The sequence below is a fragment of the Homo sapiens genome, chromosome 5 (assembly GCF_000001405.40).
Source record: "Homo sapiens chromosome 5, GRCh38.p14 Primary Assembly".
NCBI lineage: Eukaryota > Metazoa > Chordata > Mammalia > Primates > Hominidae > Homo > Homo sapiens.
The window spans coordinates 6852643-6875982 of record NC_000005.10 but is presented as its reverse complement, the minus strand read 5'-3'; the positions used below and the strand labels follow the sequence as shown (position 1 = coordinate 6875982).

General features: G+C 43.9%; 1 long non-coding RNA gene across 4 annotated transcripts in view; it reads right to left on the bottom strand.

Moving 5' to 3' along the window:
• The window catches only part of LOC105374642 (uncharacterized), a 41400-nt gene that overhangs the window by 12138 nt on the left and 5922 nt on the right, over nucleotides 1-23340 (bottom strand). The window contains exons 1-3 of one of the 4 annotated variants that reach the window (NR_188253.1): nucleotides 7350-7436; nucleotides 5362-5525; nucleotides 5125-5240 (exon numbers count right to left, since the gene is read on the bottom strand). The exons of 1 other annotated variant lie outside the window; for it this stretch is intronic. This is a non-coding gene — a long non-coding RNA (uncharacterized LOC105374642). Of the gene's footprint in view, nucleotides 1-5124; nucleotides 5241-5361; nucleotides 5526-7349; nucleotides 7437-23340 lie in introns of those variants that run through there. 2 more of the 4 variants (NR_188252.1, NR_188250.1) reach the window with 2 other exon arrangements.

Sequence of the window (23340 nt, the reverse complement as noted above, 5' to 3'; positions counted from 1 at the left end):
GAAAGTAAGAAAATGCTAAGAAAAAGAAAAAAAAAAGAAGCTAATCTCACAATGTCAAAAGGACACAAGAGCCAACCGAAGACACTCTCAGTGGCTAGAACTGGAACAAACTGAGCAACAAAATAAACAAACTAGTCTTGAATAATAGCCAAAAGTATAAGATTGATATCCATGAAGACATTCTGCAATAAATAAATAATTGAATAAATAAATAAATGGGGAAGAAGAGACAAATATCCCATGCGTGCAGAAGAATTCCAAATAAATTATGCAGATACTCTGTCCTCAAAGAGATGGAGCATATCTCGCCATGCCTTAAGCGTGGGCTGCACATAGCAACTTCCTCGTAAAGGGGACAGAATGGAAGGGCAGGTGCGGCAGAAACCTGACAAACAGGACCTCAGCCAGGTGAACGAGGCCAGCATCAGCAGTGATGAATCATGATGCTGGTACTCACATGCCTCTGATATGATGCAATGAAAACTGCACCTCACCTCTGTGGTCCTCCTTCCCAAAACACAGGACTCCAGTCTAAGCATGAGAAAAACTCCAGGCAAATCCCAGTAGAGGGACATTCAGTGAAACACCTGTCCAGTGTCCCTCAAAACTGCCAACGTCACAAAAACAAGGGAAATCTGAGTAACTGCCACAGCCAAGAGGACTCTAAGGAGACCCAGTGCCCAAAAGCAATGTAGCTTCCTGATCAGATCCTAGGACAGAAAACGACGTTAGGAAAATACCGAGGAACTCTGAATCAAGAATGGAGTTTGGCTAATAGAAATGTACCAGCATTGGTTTATTAGTTGTAACAAATGTACCATTCTAATGTAAGATGTTCACAGGAGGAATTGGGTGTGGGTATGTAAACACACTCTATCTTATCTTTGAGATTTCTGAATCTAGAACTACTCCAGAATATGTATTATTTATTTTTTATACTTATATATAATATATAATTATATATTATTTACATATTATGTATTATATATAATATTCTATTTTATATTTTTATGTTTATGTTTATATATTTATGATATTCATTTACATATTAAGTATATATTTATATAAACATATTACTATAATATATTAATGTAAATCATAAATATATAAATATATTATAAATGCATATTTATATGTATTCAAATATGTCATAAATATATAATATAAACATAGAAAATATTTATTTATGTGTAAAATATATATTGTATATAAACATATAAATTATATACATTTTAAAGCCACAAATATGTTTATAAGTCTTCGGGTAATTCTTTTACAGAGTCAAGGAAATGATCATTAATGACACTGATAGAATGTGCAGGAGAATATAAGAAGTTTTTTGATTCATTTTAAGTAGCTAACACAATCTGATACCGTCATTTGACAGAGGTTGCATACATGTAAATAGAGATATAAAAATCCTAAACTATCAACAAATTGAATTAATGCATTTAAAGAACATTTCAACAAAATATAATATGCAATTTAACATTAAGATATCTATTACTACAATATTAACCTGTCACCTCAAAAGATCAAATCAGAAAACAAATATTTTAATGGACACTTAAAAGGCCTTTGGTATAATTCAACAACAATTACAGATTAAAATTGTTAGCAAAACAGATTTTTTTAAATACTCAAATGATAAAGGACAGCTATCTTAAATCAATAAGAAAAATCTTATCTAAAACTCAAGCAACCTTCCCACTGAAATCAAGAATCAGAGCATTATGACTGATAAGTTCTCTAATGTTTACCATGTTTCTGGAAGTTAAACATAGATATTATAAGGTACAAAGCAGAAAGAAGAAGAAAACCTGGAAAATAGGTGAAAGTATCTTTTTTTCCCCCTAGAAGTACAGGGGGACTCCTAGGGGGTAAAAAATGAACTTATTTTTAAAAGCCATTGGAACTAATCTAGAAGCACAGTAAGTTCGTCAAATTCAATATGAATATAAAATGCTACAACTTTGTGTTACCAATAGCTTGTTACAAAATATACTAGAAAAAAGTCCCATTCCAACCTCAGCTAAAAATACAAAATGCTTATCTAAAAAAGAAATGAGTGAGACTAGAGACTATCATAATGGCCAAGGGTCAAAGATAGTCAAGGCCAAAGAGAAAGAAATACTCAAATAACAGCAGAAATTAAAGAAAGGACCCAGCTCCCCTGATCCAGCCTTCTGAAAGAAGCCAAACCAAGACGGAATTACAAATGTCCTACAATGAAGAAATATTATAAAAGGTGGTGAGCAATGAACTTGTTGGATTTGGCTGTGAACTTTCTAAAATTATCCAGGGCTTACTGAAACCTCTGTGATCACACATGCTTTAGTTGTTTGTTTAACTTTTATTTTAGGTTCAGGGTACATGTGCAGGTTTGTTATACAGGTAAACTTGTGTCACGTGGGTTCAATGTACAGATTATTTCATCACCCAGATACTAAGCCTAGTACCCAATAGTTATTTTTTTCTGCTTCTCTCGCTCCTCCGACCCTCCACTCTCTGGTTGGCCCCAGTGTCTGCTGTTCCTCTCTTGTGTCCATGTGTTCTCATCATTTGGCTCCCACTTGTAAGTGAGAACATGTGGCACTTGGTGTTTTGTCCTCACATTACTTTGCCTCTATAGTGGCCTCTAGCTCTGTCCATGTTCCTGAAAGGACATGACCTTTTATCTAATGTGCTCAATATTCCATTAGCAGTGGTCCCCCCACTAGCATGCACCACAACCAGTGATTCTAAGAAATCAATTTATTTTTCTAAAATCTGATTTGCAAAGAAAAGAGAGAAAACTACCAGCCAACGCTGTACCTAACACGTAATAAAAAGCATTGTACTTCAATGAAGGTAGTACTTGTTTAATTCCGAATTCGAAAAATTGAAAAATAGTTACCAAACCATTGATATACTCACTATGGAAAAGAAAAAGAAAGCTAGACTACAAACATGATGTCAAGTCTATGGGTCATCCTTGTAATCATTAACTTTCAACCACTTTTCTAAAATGCAGCAGAAAACGATACTACTAATAGACATGCATACAAATACAAACACACACACAAAATCAATTGCCTAGTAATGTAAACACTTGGGATTTTGAAACCAGAAGACTACTAAATTACCTCTTTGTGTTTCATGTTCCCATTGTTTACATGGTAAAAATTATAGCTAATTAAAAACTTAAAATAAATGAATAATGTTATATGAAACAGGGGTCCTCAACCCCAAGGCCACAGACCGGTACTGATTCATAGCCCGTTAGGAACTTGGCCACACAGAAGGAGGCGAGCAGCGGGTGAGCCAGCGAAGCTTCACCTGTATTCACAGCTGCTTCCTATCGCTTGCACGACCACCTGAGCTCCGCCTCCTGTCAGGTCAGTGGTGACATTAGATTCTCATAGAAGCGTGAATCCTCTTGTGAACTGGTCATGCAAGGGATCTAGGTTGCATGCTCCTTATGAGAATCTTATGCCTGATGATCTTCTGAGGTGGAGCTGAGACAGTAATGCTAGTGTGGGCAGTGGCTGAAAATACAGATTAACAGTAGCAAGAGGTTTGATTGCACAAAGACCCTAACAAATCAATTGCTTGCAGACTCATATCAAAACCCTATCAGAGAGTGGCAAGCGACAATTAAGCTGCATCTGGTGGAAGGCTTTCTGGTGGCCAGTGAGTTGATGTACTTCAATCGTACAGTTGCATCCGATGGCAGGCTTTAAGTCAGAATCTGACATTTATTTTAATCCACACATGGCCTACCATTATTTTATTTACCACTTCTGTCCACGCCTCTTTCCTGTACTGTACAATTGTCTCAGTAACAGTTTCGGTAAGCCCACAAGCTAACCCTAGCCAAAATCAGTAAAAAACAAATGTCACTGGAAAGCTTATTTGAAAAGGGGGAAAGACCCAATCATGAGACAGCAGAAGACCCTAAGACTGACAACATAAAGCAAGCTGCATTTAGAAGAAAAGACCAAGAGTCCTATTTAAATTACAGGTTCACTCCAACAGGTGATTCGCATTTTCCAAGCCCACTCTGTATACTATGTGGTGACTCTCCAATGAAGCCGTGAAACCTTTAAAATTGCTTCACCACATGGATACCAAGCACTCTGCATTAAAAGATATGCCTTTGGAGTTTTTCAAAGGAAAAAACATGAACATGAAGAACAGAAGCAATTAGTGAAGGCCACCCCTTCATCAAATGTGTCTGCACTGAGAACATCATTCTTGGTGGCTAACCGCATTACTAAAGCTAAGAAGCCCTTTACTATTGGTGAAGAGTTCATCCTGCCTGCTGCTAAGGACAACTGTCGTGAACTTTTAGAAGAGGTGGCAGTTTGAAAGGTGGCACATGTTCCTCTTTCGGCTAGCACCGTAACCAGAGTAATTGATGAAATATCAGGGGATACTGAGGCACAATTGTCAGAGGAGATTAATGAGTCACTTTGGTACACAATTCAGGTTAACAAGTCTACCAATGTTGACAGCAAGGCAACAATGCTTGTTTTTGTGAGATATATCTTCAGGAGGATGTGCATGAAGACATGTTAGGTGTACTTTTGCTGTCAACAAACACCACAGCTACAGAACGACTCAAATCTTCAAATGATTATGTATCAGGAAACTGAACTGGCCATTTTGTGTCAGTGTATGCACAGACAGAGTGGCTGCCATGACTGAATGGCTTTCTGGTTTCACTACTTGGGTCAAAGAGGTCACTTCTCAATGTGAGTCTCTGCAGTGTCATCCATAGAGAAATTCTGCATAGTCAAAATATGTCACCTGCACTTAACAAAGTTTTGCAGCATATAATTAAAGTAAAGTTACCAACCGCATTAAAGTACATGCCCTTAAATCATGTCTGTTCGTGCAGCTCTGTGAGGAGATGGATGCAGGGCACACACGTCTTCTCTGATACACGTGTGCTTAGAATGACATGCGTGTGATAGGATGAGATGGCTTCTCTGATACACAGAAGTGAGGTGACTTTCTAAAGGTAGATCACTGGCCAGAGTTTTTGAGTTATGAGAGCCCCTCCAGAGATTTCTTTTAAAACAGCAGTCACCACTGGCAGCACATTTCAGTGACACAGCATGGGCTGCAAACGTTGCTTACTTGTGTGACACATTCAACCTGCTCCACAAACTTAATCTGTCACTTCAGGGGAGAACGGCAACTGTGTTCAAGTCGGCAGATAGTCAGTAGATTAAGCAGCTGCATTCAAAGCCAAACTGGAATTATGGGGGCGACAAGTGAACACCGGCATTACTGACATGTTTCAAACATTAGCAGAGATTGTGAAAGAGACAGAGCCAGGGCCTTCTTTCCCCCAGCTGGTGCATGATCACCTACCTCAGCTTTCAGTAGAGCTTGAGCGTTACTTCCCAATCACCAAATACCCCCGAACTGAGAAGGAATGGATCTGCGACGCGTTTATGAATCAGCCAGGTGAACTGACTTTGTCCGTGCTGGAAGAGGATCACCATCATTTTGCTTGAGATTGCAAATGATGTGGCCTTGGAAGTATGTTTGAGACAACTTCAAATCTCCATACATTCTGGATTGTTAAAGAATATCCTGAGATTGCCACAAAAGCACTGAAAAGCCTGCTTCCATTTTCAAGGTCCTATCTTTGTGAAGCAGGGTTGTCTGCAGTGACAGCAACCAAAATGAGATTAGAGTTGAGTGGACATAAAGCAACACACTTCAGGGTCACTGTCTCCATCACCCCCAGATGGGACCATCTAGTTGCAGGAAAACAAGCTCAAGGCTCCCACTGATTCTTCATGATGGTGAGTGGTATAATTATTTCATTATATATTACAATGTAATCATAATAGAAATAAAGTCCATAATAAATGTAATACGCTTGAATCATCCCAAAACCATCCCCCAGCCCACTCGGTCTATGGAAAAATCGTCTTCCACAAAACCAGTCCCTGGTACCAAAAGGGTTAGGGATGGGACCACCGATATAAAATATAAAACTCAAATTTAATGTTCCTGGATTTGTGCACTCATACACACTTTCATACTCATACACACCCACCCACACACGCACTCTTACATGGACTCACACACAGTTACACATAAACACACATGCACACACACCCTCTTGCACACTCACACAACTCTCACATACACACTTAGCCACATTCACGTACTCATACACACTCAAACACATATGCACATACACGAATACACACACTCACCCCTCTCTCATATACACAGCTACCCACACTTGGATACTCACACGTGCACACACTCACACCCATTCACACACTCTCTCAAGCACTCACACTCACACACAGTCACATACTAAGCATGTACACACATGTGCACACACTCACACCCATGCTGTCTCACACATATGCTCTTCCACTCGCAGTCATACATGAATAAACATGTACACACACTCATGCATGCACACACATACTTTCATACACTCACCCACAGTCACATAATAAACATGTACACACATGCACACACTCTCACACCCATGCTCTCACACACTCACATGCACTCACAGTTACACATGAATAAACATGTACACACATGCACACATGCACACACACTTTCATGCACTCATGCACACACACTTTCATGCACTCACGTGCACTCATACACTCACACATACATTCACACACATGCACAGTCACACATATTCACACACTCACTGAGAAAAGAACAAACAAAAGCTCAGTAGGGTCTTTGTAAACATTTTTCCTCCTCGTTTTGAAACTTTTGTGCAATTTGTATATTTTAAAAGTAAATTTCATTTCTGCCTTATATACCATCGTAATTTCTGTCTCTCAAAAGCTTTAGTTTCTGCCGTATCAACAGAAGGTCTAACCCATTTGTCCACCCAGATCACCTAGCTGCAGTCCAGTGGTGAAGGCCGGCAGCCTGGGGGACAAAGTGTCCCCAAGACACCTCCACTGTGATGAGGGCATCACCGCACTGTGCCCTCCCCTGTGATGCTGAGCCTGGACCTGGGGGCCGCCCACACTGAGTTGAAGGCTCAAAGACGAACCTCTTCTTGACAATGAGCAGTTCAACCCTTCATGAGCACAAGAGTCCAATCTTCCATTTTAAGTTATTTTCTTCTTATTTGAGCCACTTAGCTAGAGTCAAGGGAAGTAAAATAGTGCCCAGGTCAATAGAGACTGTGAGTTCTCTAAGAAACAGTGGGTTTATCCCATTTGTTCTAAGAAGCTCCGGGGCGGGGCAGAGAGCCATCTGACCCCTGCACCCACGGGCTATGAGCAGGCAACTGGCAGGCTCGTAATCGACAACATAAATACAGCAACAATAGCAACAAAGTGTGTGGGCACACATACCTTGTGTCTAATTTAGGACAATCTTGCTATGATCACAGAAATCAGAAACTTAGCACACTCATGGCAGCCTCTCTTGCACTGCCAGACAAAAATAAGAGGACAGCGGGCTGCCTGGTTGATGCAGGAGGGGAAATAAACAGCCCAGGATTGGCTGGTGATCCGTCAGCAGAACTGGGTCAGCTCAGCTCATGCGAAAACGCAGTGCCAGCCTCACTGCCAGACAAAGAGCAGAGCCTCAAAGTGGAGCAGGCCCCCAGGTGGCCACCTCAGCTGTCCAGCCAAGGTCAGAGGGGCTGGGCAGAAGAGGCGGCTGCTGGCCAGGCGGGATTAGCTGCTGGCCCAGGCAGCAGCAGAGATCAAGCATGGGTGTAGAGAGGTACGTTTCCAGCACGCAGCCTTCTGGAGCCAAGATGTTCTCCCGACACCACTGCTGCCTGCAGTGCATCCACAATTTGGTTTCCAATTTTTCTGTACAACAAAATAAAGCTTTAAAAAAAAAAAAAACACACAGCCCTTTGTGCTAGATTCTGTTTAAGCTACTTGAGCACTGAAAGGATGATGAACTTATCAGCACTTTTCAATCCAAGCAGAGCCAGAGAGCAGCCACACACACACACACACACACACACATTCATACATGTGCACACACACCCATACACACCCATACATGTGCACACACGCACATCCATACACGTGCACACACACATTCATACATGTGCACACACGCATGCATATACATCACTCACATGCACACGCTCACACACGTAGACACTCACACATGCATGTACACTCACACTCATACACATGCACACATACATGCTTACACAAATTCACATACTACTCACACAAGTACCCATATATACATGTACTTACATTCTTACACACATGCACACAGACACACACACACGCCAGTCCTTCCTAAGTGCCAGGCCATCAGGAGAAGCGGGAGGGAAGGCCTGCTGGTGTCTTTGTGGTTCTAGACAAAAGTGAACCCAAAGTGAGCTTCCATCCCAGTCGTTCCCGGTGATTCTGCCCGGCTCACTGCCCGGGGTCCCCGGCTCCCTTCTCTGCAGGCCCCTGCCTCTCCCCTGCACTCCTGGCTACGATTCCATGAACGTCCCATGTTTTCTCTTCAGGCCTGTGCCTGGATCACGCCCGGGGGCTGGGGGCTTCTGAGAAGGCCTTGATGACCCCTGCTCCTGTATTCATGCCCTGGTGTAAGCCCCTCCCTGTGAGGGTCTCAAGGCTGGACCTAGAGACTTGCCTTTGAAATACAGAATAGGCAGTCATGGTGAGACGCCCCTCCAAGGCTCAGCTCGCTCTGACCCTTCCTTCAGCTCGCTTCCATGAATCCTGCAGCTCACTTCCATGAATCCTGCTGCCACATGGTAAGCTGCTCTTCAAAGAGGCCCAGGTGGCAAGAACCTGAGGATGGCTTCTGACTAATGCCCACAAGGAAATAAATCTTGCCAACCACCACACCAATGAGCTCGGAAGAGTCATCCCCTGGGGGGCCTTGAGATGCCAGCAACCCCTGCTGACACCTTGCTTGGAACCTGTGGGACACCCTGAGCTCAACTGCTTAGCTAAGTTGTGTTCTACAATCAAGAGTAACCCCTGGGTTCCTGACCCATAGAAACTGTGAGATAAGAAATATCTGTGGCCTTAAATTGCTAAGTTTTGCAGTAGTTGGTTATACAGCAATAAATAATGAATACTCTCTTATCACCCAGTATCCAGTACATGCTTTCTTCCATTGCAGGACTCCTGCCAGTGCAACCTGCAGCCCAGGCTCGCTGTTCCCTCCTCTGGGACGTGTCACATTCGAGACATGGGTGGTGTCTCTCGTGCCATCCTGGCACCCGGGCTGTGCTTCTGCAGTGCTCCTCACACCAAAGCTGCCTGTTAATTGCCTGCTCTCAGGGCACAAGGGCTTCAGAAATGGGTTTCTTCCCCATTGCTTCTTGCTCTCCAGTTCTCTGCACCAATCCAAATAGTAAAAAAAAAAAAAAAAGCATATGCAGGGCAGTTTTCCTCTATGGCTACCCACTCCTGGTCTATCCAGGCCCTCAGTCGGTTGGATGGTGCCCGCCCACACAGGGTGAGGGCAGATCTTCCTTCCTCAGTCCACTGATTCAAATGCCAGCCTCTTCCAGAAGCACCCCACAGACACACCCAGGAATAACACCCTACCCGCTATCTGGGTATCCTTTAACCCAGTCAAACTCACACCTGAACTTAACCATCACACCCAGTCTTCGTTGCCCAGGGCTGCCAGAACAAACTCAGAGTTCAACAATCTAGGTGCTTTTAAAAATAGAATTTCATTCTCCTGCAATCTGGAGGCCAGAAGTCCAAAATGGCAGTGTCAGCAGGGCAGTGCTGCCTCTGAAGGGTCTAGGAAGGTCCTTCCTCACCTCTTCCTTGGGTCCTGGCATAGCTGGCAATCCCCAGTGTTCCAGGGCTTGTGGCTGCATCACTGCAGGATCTACTTGCATCTTCATACAGCCTTCTCCCCTGTGTCTCTGTGTCCAAATTTCCCTCTTTTTATAAGACACCAGTCATGGCATTAGGGCTCACTCCTATGTAGTATGGCCTCACCTTCACTTGGTTACATCTGCAAAGACCCCATTTCCAAATAGGCCACGCTCACAGGTTCTGAGGGTTAGGACTTTAACATATACTTTTGGGGAACACAACTCGATCTGCAACAGGCATGGAGTAAAGAAGTGTAAACATCTGTTTCTTCTCTTTAGCCCTTCGTCCTATTTGGAGAAGCATTTGGAGTGGTGTGACTTGGGGAGATACAGATGCCTTATTCTTGGCACAACTATGAATGTATAGTTTAGGGGGTTAGGGCATTACCCAGAAAATGAGGAAGGCAGCCAACTCAGGAGAACTATGCTCTCAGATAAAAGAGTTCAAGGGACCTTGAAGTTTCCTTCCTGTCTGGTCTTGGAGCTAAGTCAGTCAAAATTTAGGGGCTAAAGCCTTGCTCAGTGATGGGACTGGGTCTTTATTTCTATGCATTGGGACCTGGGCCAGCTTGACCCAGCCAGGATGTGATTCTCTTACACCAGCACCCTTCATCTGCATCTGCTGACACCTACATGCCACAAACACACCCATTAACTGGAGATAAGAAGACGAGGCCCCCCAGTGCTTCTAAGACACTACCACAAATGGGGTGGATTGAGGAGAGAAGGAGGGATTGGGTTTACAGAAGCTTCCCTCAACACATTCCATTCTTTATGGAAAAAGACACAATTTCTGTTTCCAAAAACCTAAGTTGCTGAATAGTAGACATCAACAATCTGTCTTCTGGGTTCAGAGTTCTTTGTATGTTGCTTTCATATCCAGGCATAATTACAAATTTAGCAAAATTCACAGATAGTAGTCAAAGTGTGGTAGCGCCATAAAGTTCTAGAATAGTGAACTGATGATCATCTGCCTTAACATGGTCCTTCCCCAAACTCCCTGCTTCTTCCAGGTCTTATAGAAGTTGCAAGGCCACAACTAAGTTCCATTTTCCTCCAACGTTTTCCCAGATTCCAAGCCATATTCATCTCTCTCTTCTATACACTCTTCCGCAAAAGAGAAGTTGCCATTGGTCATGCATTGTTGATAGTGGTTTTGTTTGAATAGCCTCAAATCTCCTCAAAAAGAGAGAAATTCATATTTTACGTTTACTTGTATGACTCATGGTACTAACTGAGTACCAGTAATTGGTTAATACACCCTTATTAAATGAATGAACAACGGCCCATTTCAAAAAGAAAGAAACCGGGAATCGTGTGGGAGGAGTTCAGTCTAGAAAGGAATAGGAACAGATTCTGAGCAGCTGCACTGCTGGCCCTAAAGTGGAAAAAATAGGAAGGGTCCACTTACCCTGGAGTATGACCAAGATAGAGTGTGAGTCTAGTGTTAAGAACTACAAGTACAAAGAATATGATATGCATACGTGCCGTATCTGTTATTCATCAAAACCCAAGCTGGATTATCTCATTAGAACACTCTTCATGAGATGCAAGAAGCATTACCCAATTTCAAAGATTTGTGATCATGTGCCTTAAACGTTGTTAACGAGAATTCCAAACTTAACATATTGAGAATAAAAAGTTGAGTTTCTTATTAAACTGATAAAGTACAATCTGTTTTTATTATATTCAAACACACAGAGAGAGACAATCAATATGTAAATAATATTTGGTTCTGTGAAGGTAAAGGATTTTGTGCAAGACGTGTTCCTGGAAAGCATGTACTACCAAGAATAATGTGTTTGTTTTATAAAACTGATTTCATAAATACTTATTATTGGGAGGTTTATGTTAAGTATAATTGACTACAGTTCAACCAAATTATTATGCCAGTGAAAGGTTAGAGCACTAAAATTCATAATATGAAAAGAGAAAAACTATTTCAACTCAATTATTCAATAACTAACTAAGCATTTCTAGATTCTCTTCTCTGTTATTCAACCTCTCTTTTGCCTACTTCATTTCTCTGCCAAAATCACTATCAGACGTGGTAGTAAAGAGGAAAGCAAAGAATCAAAATTCAATTAAGGTCCTTTAAGATACAACTGTCCTGTAAATGGGGCTTTGGGAAAACAAACAGTGAAGACAGCGGTTTAAACTGTGTTTATAAATGTGTTAATTGCAAACCTTTATCACTCCTAAATCCTGGCTTACACAAATGTTGTTTTCCAAGCCTACTGGAAGAAGAAAATATTTTTATGCAAAGAAGTCGGCCTCACACTTTGTTCATTCCCATCAAAAAATAAGAAAGCTTGATCCCAGGAGATATAACAGACAAACAAATTAGACTGCAGGAAGCAAAAATATAAATTCTAAGTGACAAAAAAAAATCCAAATTATAGAACAAGTAGCTAGAAAAAAACCTTTGCAATTTATTTCACAAGAGCTTATCTTCTCAACACATGATGAGCTCTAACAAATCTTTAAGGAAAGGGTCAAAAATGCAATAGAAAAAAATGGGGAACAGATACAAGAGAGTTTATGGAACAAGAAATACAAATGAAACATATAAAAATATTCTCAAATCCATTTTTCCATTTCTCACTCAAAACATGGAATCATTCTGGACTCCTCCCTTACTTTCTCCTCCCTAACATGTCCAAGACCTTCTCAGCTTCATCTTCTAAAAGGACCATATCAACCTCTTGTTTGGATTACTGCAATTCCTAACTGAGCTCCCTGCTTCCATGCTGTTCCCTTCTACGGTCCTTTACAGGGCACCCTGAGTGACCCTTCTAAGAACGTAACCTTACATTGGTTTCCTTTTGCAGAATCAAAGCCAGAGCCCAGTGGCATAAAGGCCCCAACACATCAGCGCCCTGTGGCCTCTCTGACCTCCTCCTGCTCCTCCTCACTCCCCTACTCCAACATTCCCAGTTCCCTTGTTCTCTTTCAAACATAATGTGGAGGATGACATTTCCCAAAGATGACAGCAACAATACTCCCCTGTGATGGTTCGTTTTAAGTGTTCACTTGGTTAGGCCACAGCACCCAAATATTTGGTCAAGTGCCAGTCTAAATGTTGCCATGAAAGTATTTTTTAGACATCAACATTGAAATCAACAAACTTTGGATTAGCAGACTGCTTTCCATAATGTGAGGGAGCCTCATTCCATCAGTTAAAAGCCTTAAGAGCAAAGACTGAGGTCACCTAATGGAGAAGGAATTCTGCCTCCAGACTGCTTCAGATTGGAATTGCAGCATCAACTCTTCCCTGGGGCTCCAGCCTGCCTTGCAGGTTTTGAACTTGCCAGCCCCCACAATCCTGTTGGTCAATTCCTTAAAATAAATAAGTAAATTCCTATCTCATATATACATATATATAAGTTTAACAGTTTTGTGTGTGTGTGTGTGTGTGTGTGTGTATACAATAGGTTCCGTTTTTCAGGTAAACCCTAACGCATCTCCCAATAATATGACCTTGTCATTTCCCTGATAAAAGAGGTAGAGTCTATGCCACACCCCTGGGCATGTTCCTGTGTCAATCTAGGAACATTTTCCATCAGAATGTTTTTTGTCAGAAGCTAGCCAGCCTGCAAGGAGTGATCCAGTGTCATGGAGAGACCACAGGTAGGTGCCCTGCTTAACCGTCCCAGCTGAGCCCAGCCTTCGAATCATCCCAGCCCGGGTGCCAGCATGTGATCAACAAAGCCTCTGGATGATTCCAGTGCCTGCCTTCAAGTCACCCGGATTCCCAGATTCCAAGATTCAAGTCTTCTCAGCTGAGGCCCCAAACATCAAGATGCTAGAAGAGCATCCCCACTAAGGCCTATCCAAATTCCTGGCCCACAGAATCCACAAGCATATGAAAATAATTGCTGCTTAACCTCTCAGTTTCAGGTTGTTTGTTATGCACTATTGATGAGCAGCATGAATGCTGAGCAAGTCCCTTAGAATATGACTCTTCACTGCCTGTGCGCTTGCTGCTCTGTCTTTGTGGATCTCCTCCCTAGATTCCTTTGTGGTCTCTTCTTCACCCTGGTCTTCTTCACTCTGTGCAAACATCAACTACTCCAGGAGGCCTCCTTCTCCCCCATGGAAAATACAACCCTCCACCTGCACTCTTTAACCCCCTTCCCTGGTTTATTTTTCTTAGGAGAACTTATCACCATCATATAGGCTGTCTATTTCACCTATTTGCTTTTCCTTTCCCTATCTCCTCTGAGTGTAAGCTGGATGAGAATAGGAGATTTGGGGTTTGCTCTGTTCAGGATTGCATCACTAGCACCTGGAGCGGAGCCCAGAGCACAGTCAGTGCTCAACTAATTACAGCAGAATGAATACACGAATGAATGAAGAAACTGCACACATAAAACAGCTGCAAATTAAAACTCCAGTGACATAAAATTTTTTACCTATCAGATCACAAAACTTGCACACGTGGGTAATGCATTGTGCTGGTGAGCATGTGGGGAGACAGGCATTGCCACATTTTTCTGGCGAGAATATTAACTGGGGAAAATTATTCAAAGAATGATTGGACAGTGGAATTCAAAATTTTAAGTGCACATAAACATTGACCTAGCAAATCAGTTTCTAAGAACATATCCTACAGACATACTCATACATATGTACAGCAGTGTATCTATAAGAATATTCAGGGCAGCACTTGTTTGTATGAGCAAAAGATTCAAATATCAAATGATCTTCAGTAATATAATTGTTAAATAAATATCAGAACATTACTGGTAAGAAACGTATGCCACTGTAAAAGAGAATGTTGCAGTTCTATACTGAAATAGAACTTATATAGAATAAGCTCCAAAACATATTGTCAGGGAAGGAAGCAAGGTTCAGAACAGTGTGTATGCTGTGTCACCGATTTAGCTATAAGAGGTGGAATGTCTCCAGAAGGATGTAACAGACAAAAGCGAATAACAGATTGCCTCTGGGGATATGAACTCAGCAGCTGGCAGACAGGAAGGGAAGAAGACATTTTTCAGTATATTGACCAATTTATATTTTTAGAATGTTGTATTATGTGCATTTAGTTACCACTGAAGGAAAATATCCATTTAAGAAAAGATAATATGCCAGATATATTTCCTCTTTAATTTCTTCTAGAAAGAGTGGTCATGGGTCCATGCTTCCCTCCTGCCTGCCTTGGTGACAGACTGAGCACAGTGCCCAACGTCCTGTGTTCAACTGAGGGAGAGAGACATTTGGTTTTTTCTCCAGAGAGAGACCCATGAAGACTTATCCATAAATCCTCACAGCCATCCCAACCAATGCCAAGGAGTTAGCAATCCATGAAATAAGCAATAAATGCTTTAGTAAAAGTTGTAGCAATAGGTGTAGCTCACAAGACTGCTTTCAGTATAAAAAATGGGGTAATCTGCTGCTTATGTTTTCACAGCATGATAACTTGTGGGTCATTTCACCTGCTGATGGTTACTTTAAATAAATAGAAATGGGGCAGTGAGAAGCACGAACCAGAATTTACTTTCATCTATATTCCCTTTGGGGGCTTTCTTCATCAACATTGTTAAGCCAAATAAGATAAAGAAACATTTAAAATGCATTACATTCAAGGCTTTTTGGTCTACAAAATTGAGTAAACAGTATTTAAGAGCAAAGATATTAACTCTAAAAAGGAAGCATGATACATTACTTAGTAACAGTGACTATTATGTCTTTATCTTTCATGGAAATCTTCAAGGGTTAAGACACATAATAAGTGTCATTCATGCAACTGTTTTCAACCAATGTCTAAACTACGTTATTAGGCTAAAAAAAAAATCTGTAATGAAAGAACTCCAAAAAGAGTCATCTTCCAGGAAGGAGTCTCCATTTTCTTCAGAGTAAACATCACCCAAATGACGCTGTACCACAGACATCCCTGGTCCTCCAGCAGGTCACAACCCAGAAAGGGAGGGAAACTCTAGACAGATGACTCCAGCGCACACTCAGGGTACACAAGGTGAGGGGTAGAAGCAGCTTGGAAGGAGGCCGCCCAGTCAGCCTCCGTGGAAACTCAGCCTTTAACTTGTGCCTGGAAGGAGGAGGAGACGGAGAAGGAAATACTCTTCTGGGAGGGAGGAGCATGCAGGATGAACGAAGGCAGCACAGCTAACCTCTAACGCTCCTAAATGCCAACCCCAGGAAGTTGCATGAGAATGAAAAATCATCTTCTGCCTGTAACGAGTTGAATGGCACCCCCAGAAAAGATAGTTCCAAGTCCTAAACCCCATATCTAACGATATGACCTTATTTAGATATAGGGTCTTTGCAGATGTAATTAAATTAAGGATATTGGGATGAGATCATCCTGGATTTAGGGTTCACCCTAAATGACCTGTGTCCTTATAAGAAAAAGAAGAGGAGATTCAACACAGAGACACAGGGGAAAGCCCACATGAACACAGAGGCAGAAATTGGAGGGACGCAGCCAAAAACCAGGGACTGTGGAGGACGGCCGGCAGCCACCAGGAGTTGAGAGAGGGGCCTGGGACAGATTCTCACTCAGAACTTCTGGAAGGAACCAACTTCTAGACTCCAGAGCTGTGAAAGAACAAGTTTCTATTGTTTTAAGCCACCAAGATCATGCTAATTAGTTATGGCAGCACAGGAAACTGAGAGACTGCCTTTTATGCTGACCTTGATGTTGTAAGTGTCTCCCACAGGGCCTGCACCTAGAAGATGCTCAGGAGATGTTGAATAAATGACTGCAACGTGTAGAAGCAAATGGGTGGCAACTGGGAAGAGACAGGTCAAGGCCAGGTCATGCCAGATCCCAATGACATTCCCTGAGCTCATTCTGCAAGGCTTGGATTAAGGAATTGTAAGGGGATGAAAAATGCATCAGGCTAGTGGGAAGACATTACAACAATGAGTAAGCTGGTAAAGGCAGGAGGTCCGGGCAGACGCCTATGACAGATGGGAGGAAACTTGAGTCAGGCAGTGGCAGCAGGCGTGGATACCGGAGCCCCTAAAAATAAAGCTGACCGTCTGGACCAGGCTGGACGATGAAGAGGGAGGACCTGTCCACAGGGGACTGAAGGGTTTGGACGGATCGAACGCATCCGTCAAAAACGGAAAGGAGAATATTGCAGTTCAAGACAGGTCTCAGGCCAGGTTTCCCAGAAAACAGAACCTGAGGCCAAACTAAAGGGCTACTGGATCTGAGGAGCTGCGATTCCAGGGTGGAGAGAAGAAGGAGAAGGGAGGAGAGGCAGGGAGAGAGGGAAAGCCAGTCCAAGATGGTGCAGGGCTGTGCTGCCGCTGTTTCACAGAGAACAGGGCACAGGACCTCGCTGCACTTTGCCACACGGAGGGACAGAGCCGGTGCCTCGGGACAGTCCCCTGGAGCCAGGAGGAGAGAGGAAGTGTGGTGTGCACTCCCCCTCTCCTGTCTCACACTGGTAGAGTATGTCCCATGGACCATAGCTTCCACATGCTAAGCTGTGCTACTGGTCCCCTCCTGGCAGCTGCTGCAAGTATCAGGTCCTGTGTCCAGGACTTCCTCAGGGTCAGGAAGTGGCAGTTGGAGCCAGCACTGCCCCAGGACAGGAAGGTGATGCACACGCCCACCCTGGCGGAGGCCAAGGAAGGGGCAGGGCCTACAGAAGAGCAGTGGCAGCTGTCGTGGTGGCCAAGATCAGGCTGTTCCATGAGCAACGACCAGGGCCCAGGACACTGGGAGGCCAGGGGAATTTGAGAAGTTGGCTACGTAGTCCCAGATCCAAAATGCAATGTGATTCTGGCAGGTCTCGCTCATCTATGCATTTTTAAATCTTCCCGGCTCTATGAGTAACTCGATGGTTAATATTGTTTGACTGGATAAATTTCTAACAAAAACAAATTTTATCATTGGAGAGGAAAGTCAGAACTCAATCTCAAGTCCACTAACAGGACTGTGTAACCATTTTCATGTATATCATGATTTACTATAGCACTAACTATGGACCTGTCTCTTATGGGTGTTACAAATATCAACTTGTTTAACAACCATCGCAAGAGCCAGCCCGTGTGGTCCCATTCCGGCTGCAAAGCCCATTGCCCCACCCTGCTATGCTGTCTCTTTGTTTGTTGAACTTTTCGCTGATGGAACATTTGTATCATCTTAGCTTTCCGTGGGAAAAAGAAGTGCATGCCTCATGGTGGGCCCCCATTTCCACCTGAGACAAAGGCGTTCTGATCACGTTTCTCTCCTCTTGCCATTAACCAGGGACCAGAGAATTTGTTTTGTCTCAGACCTTGAAAACTTTAAGATCAATTAAACAACCAGTGGGTTTGGAAGCATGACAGGTGAGTTCAGCTTCTGAACGACGCTTCAGGCTGAACTTGAACAAATGTCCCCAACACAGCTTGGAACTGTCCACAGCAATTCTGAGCCACGATCTTCACGGTTGAGACGTGGACTCTGCAGTCAGACCAACTGATTGAATGTCAGCTCTGCTCCTTGCCCTGCACCACCGGACAAGTAAGCAACCTCTCCACGTCTCAGGTGTGGAATCTACAAAATACAGTGCTAAATGTAGATACCGCTCATAATGACCGAGCACCAAGTGGATTAAAACATAAAATGCCCAGAATGTTTAGTACACAGTTTGGCTCTTACAATAAACACCTGCTGCATTGATACTATTAGGGTAGGAGGCTCCATCTAGGTAGGCTCTGAGGATGGGCTGTGCACATCCACATCCTGACACCTGCAGGCATTGGGATCCTTCCTCCATCTCACGCCACATTATCGCTATATGCAGATGCAGTTCGTTTGGTCTCACAGCCATAGTTCACCACAACAAGAACTTAAATTCTGCCATTCCCGGAATTCCTATATAACTTTTAATTATTTTTTTATTTGAGAATCTTATTTTGGTGGCCAGAATGGGCTTGACCACAGCAGAAGGATTAAGTCTAAAGAAAGCAAGGACACCCGCCCCCCCACCCCCTGCCACCTTCATTAATCATTTCTACACTCAGCCCCCAGCATCTCCATGCCTGAAATGCCAATTGGAATTACCATTGCTTTCTTGGGTTGCCACTGCCAATAAAGTGATCGGCTCACCTCTGCTAAGCAGTTCTGTCTCCATACACAACTACATCCCCTGAAGCCCTTTGAGCCCTGATCAGCTGGGGTTTATATCAGTTACTAACGCAAACAAAATGTAAGTCAAGCAAGACAGAGTGCTGGAGCCCGGCAGGAGCCTGGTATCCTCTCGGCCATTGCTGCTGTCCTGCCAACAGCTGGTGTCTGCCTCGAGATGTTTTATGCTGCCATCAGCAGCAATTCCACCAGCTGGCATATTGACAAACTGATAAAGCAGATCATATCAGTGGGAAGAGCTGGAACTTCCTCCAGTGCATTTAAGCTGATGTAGCCTGTTTGGGCTGTGCATATACTTGGCTCAAAAAAGAGAGGAACCACGTAAGACCACACATCTGCTGTGAAGGATGAATAGCTGAGAAAAGACTAAGGACTTGATGGCCTATACTCCCATGGGTCTGAGCAATGCATCCTATGAGGATCTTTTTGGAAATTTCTTTGTTCAAAGATTAGCAATATTAGGACCATTTATTCTCTTGCTGCACAAAGGGACTTCAGACAAAAGACTTGAAGAACATGGACAAAGAAATGGAAGCAGAGACTGTGGGAGGATCTGCTGAGAGCTCAAACCAGGGTGTGGGCTAGAGACTGCGTCGGGGAACACAAGGAGAAGAAACATCATCGGGGTCTTATCTTTTTTTTTTTTTTTTTGAGATGGAGTCTCACTCTTGTCACCCAGGCCATGGCTCACTGCAACCTCTGCCTCCTGGGTTCAAGCAATTCTCCTGCCCCAGTCTCCCGAGTGGCTGGGGTTACAGGCACCTGCCACCACTGCCCGACTAATTTTTTTTTTGTATTTTTAGTAGAGATGGGGTTTCACCATGTTGGTCAGGCTGCTCTCAAACTCCTGACCTCAGGTGATCCACCCATGTCAGCCTCCCAAAGTGCTTGGATTACAGGCATGAGCCACGGCGCCCAGCAGGGTCTTATCTTCCTGCAACCTTGAAGAACCCAAGCAGCAATGATGCACTTGGAGTGTGGAAAACATTCTTTTAAACTGCCTATCCTTTTAGGGAAGCAACAGTATTTATCTTGGGAGGAAATACTGAGCTCTTTGTTTGGGGGTAGGCTGGGGGTGGGGGAGGTTGTTGTTTATTTCTTAGTCCAGGAAAACCCCAGTGGGCCTTTTTGCTTAAATCATTGCTATTAGCTAAATGTTTGTGTCCCACTCACCCTCCACCAAAAAAATATGTATGTTGAAGCCCAGTCCCCAAGGGGATGGTAGGAGGTGGAGCATCTGGCAGATGATTAGGTCATGAGTGTTGGAGCCCTCATGAATGGGATTAGTGCCCTTACAAAAAGACATGAGAGAGCTTGCTTTCTCCCTCTCTGCTCTCTGTAATGTGAAGACACAATGAGATGCTCACGTGCAAACAAGGAATTGGGCCTCCATTAAACATTGGATCTCCCAGGCCTTGATTTTGGTGTTCCTAGCCTTCAGAATTGTGGGAAATAAATGTTTGTTCTTTAAGCCACCCAGTTTATGGAATTCTGTTATAGCAGCCAGAATGGAATACCATTGTAGTGGCCAATGCCAGAGCTTGTTCTGGAAGGAAGAGGCATAGTCAATAAGTCACCCTATATAAAAATGGACTAGGACATTTCTGCAGACATTGTTTGATGTTAAATATTTGAGTTCTGTTTGCTGCCTTTGGCTGGCAGAGGAAGAAAGCATGCTGTCTGTAAGAGGAAGGGTGCTGGCCGGGCATGGTGGCTCACACCTGTAATCCCAGCACTTTGGGAGGCCGAGGCGGGCGGATCACGAGGTCAGGAGATCGAGACCATCCTGACTAACACAGTGAAACCCCATCTCTACTAAAAATACAAAAAAGTTAGCCGGGCGTGATGGTGGGTGCCTGTAGTCCCAGCTACTCGGGAGGCTAAGCAGGAGAATGGCGTGAACCTGGGAGGCGGAGCTTGCAGTGAGCTGGGATTGCGCCACTGCACTCCAGCCTGGGTGACAGAACGAGACTCCGTCTGAAAAAAGAAAAAAAAGAGGAAGAGTGCTGTGTCCGGGCACTTCCATCTGAGGTCAGTTGGTTTCTGCAATAGCCAATGGTGGAAGCAGATGAAGAGATGGATCATTGGTGATGACCCTGCGATGAGTTTGGCCAATGGCTCCCAGGGCCAGTGATATTGAGAAGCCAGAGCTAAGGTTTCACAGTGTTATAGTTTTATGTCCTCTCCAAGCCTTCAGTTGAGTTTATGAATGCTCCAGCCTTGTGCTAGTTGCAACTGTGAGAGAAAACTTGAGTGAGTAAGTCAAGCCTCCACTGCAGAGAACAGAATCCTCTCTAGCTAGATGTGTTTGCTTCCTGAGGCTTCTCTACAAATAACCACACACTGTGTGTCTAAAACAACAGAAACTGTTATCTCACAGCTCTAGAGCCCAGAAGTCCAAAGGCAAGGTGTTCACAGGGCCACATTCCCTCCAAAGGCTCTAGGGGAGGATGCTTCCTGGCTCTCCCAGCTTCTAGCGGCTCCTGGCCTTCACAAGCTCCTTGGCTTGTGGCCGCATCACTCTAATCTCTGCCTTCATTCACGTGGTCTTCTCCTTTTTTTTTTCTTTGAGATGGAGTCTCACTGTGTCACCAGGCTGGAGTGCAGTGGCACCCTCTTGGCTCACTGCAACCTCCACCCCCTGGGTTCAAGCAATTCTCCTGCCTCAACCTCCCAAGTAGCTGGGATTACAGGCGCCCACCACCATCCCAGGTTAATTTATGTATTTTTAGTAGAGACAGGGTTTCACCATGCTGGCCAGGATGGTCTCGATCTCCTGACCTCATGATCCGCCCACCTCGGCCTCCCAAAGTGCTGGGATTAGAAGCGTGAGCCACCGCGCCCAGCCTTCTCCTCTTCCTATAAGGACATTGTCACTGAATTTAGGGCCCACCCAGATAATCCAAGCTGATCTCCTCTTCTCTAGGTTCTTAATTACATCTTCAAAGACTCCTTTTCTAAATAAAGTCACATTCACAGGCTCCACATGAACACATCTTTTTTTGGTGGGGGTTGAGGAGGGAAAGTAGCATTCAACCCACTATAGCCTTGTTAAGCAAAAGGGAATTTTTATAAATTATTCAGTGCTCACAGAATCACTTGGGAAGGGTAAATGTGTTAGTCTGTTTTCATGCTGCTGAGAAAGACATACCCGAGACCAGGCAATTTACAAAAGAAAGAGGTTTAATGGACTTACAGTTCCATGTGGCTGGGGAGGCCTCACCATCATGGCAGAAGGCAAGAAGAAGCAAGTCACATCTTACATGGATGGCAGCAGGCAAAAAAACTGTGCAGGGAAACTCTCCCTTATAAAACCATCAGATCAGCTGGGCACAGTGGCTCACCCCTGTAATCCCAGTACTTTGGGAGTCTGAGGAGGGAGAATCACGAAGTCAAGAGGTGAAGACCATCCTGGCCAACATGGTGAAACCCCATCTCTACTAAAAATACAAAAATTAGCTGGGCGTGGTGGTGCACACCTTTAGTCCAAGTACTCGGGAGGCTGAGGCAGGAGAATGGCTTGAACCCAGGAGGTGGAGGTTGCAGTGAGATGAGACCGTACCACTGCACTCCAGCCTGGGCGACAGAGTGAGACTTCATCTCAAAAATAAAAATAAAATAAAATAAAATAAAACCATCAGATCTCGTGAGACTTATTCACTAGCACAAGAACAGCATGAGAAAGACCTGCCCTCATGATTCAATTACCTCCCACTGGGTCCCTTCCACAACACATGGGAATTCAAGATGAGATTTAGGTGGGGACACAGCCAAACCATATCAGTAAAGAAACAAATTCCAGGATGAACACACAAGAAAAACGCTCAAAGCCATAGGGAAACCAGGTCACCAAGAGAGCTCCATCCTGCAATGGTGAGGGAGCTGCAGGGTGCAGCAGCCACCCATTGACTCCAGAAGCTCCCACAGCAGCTGCCAGCTCCACACCACCTCTGCAATGAAAAAACAGAGAGCATGCCCACCCCTCCCCATCGGGACTGAGTCTAAGCTCAAGGATTCACAGGGCGAAACCTAAGTTATATCCAGACCCTAAATGCAAGGGATTTAGGGAAACACAGGTTTAGCATTCCCACTTCGCACTAAAAGAGGGCTGGGGAGCAGGTGGCGGTAGCATCCCCAGCACCTTCTGCACAGCCTGTGTCCACAACCAGCTCAAAGTGGCCAGTAGAAGCCATTTTAAGATTGGGACAAACAGCAGCCAGCCATTCTCAAGCTTTGGAGAGCAGAAGAACTTAGCTCACCTGGGGAGCTGGCTATAATTGGATGGCACTGGCTTTGGACTAATGATCTGCTGAATTAATGAGTGGGCCAATGAGAAAGGATTGCAGAGGATCAACCTTGGCAAAGAAGCAAAGCCCCCAGGACTTCCACCTACACTCACCTGGGC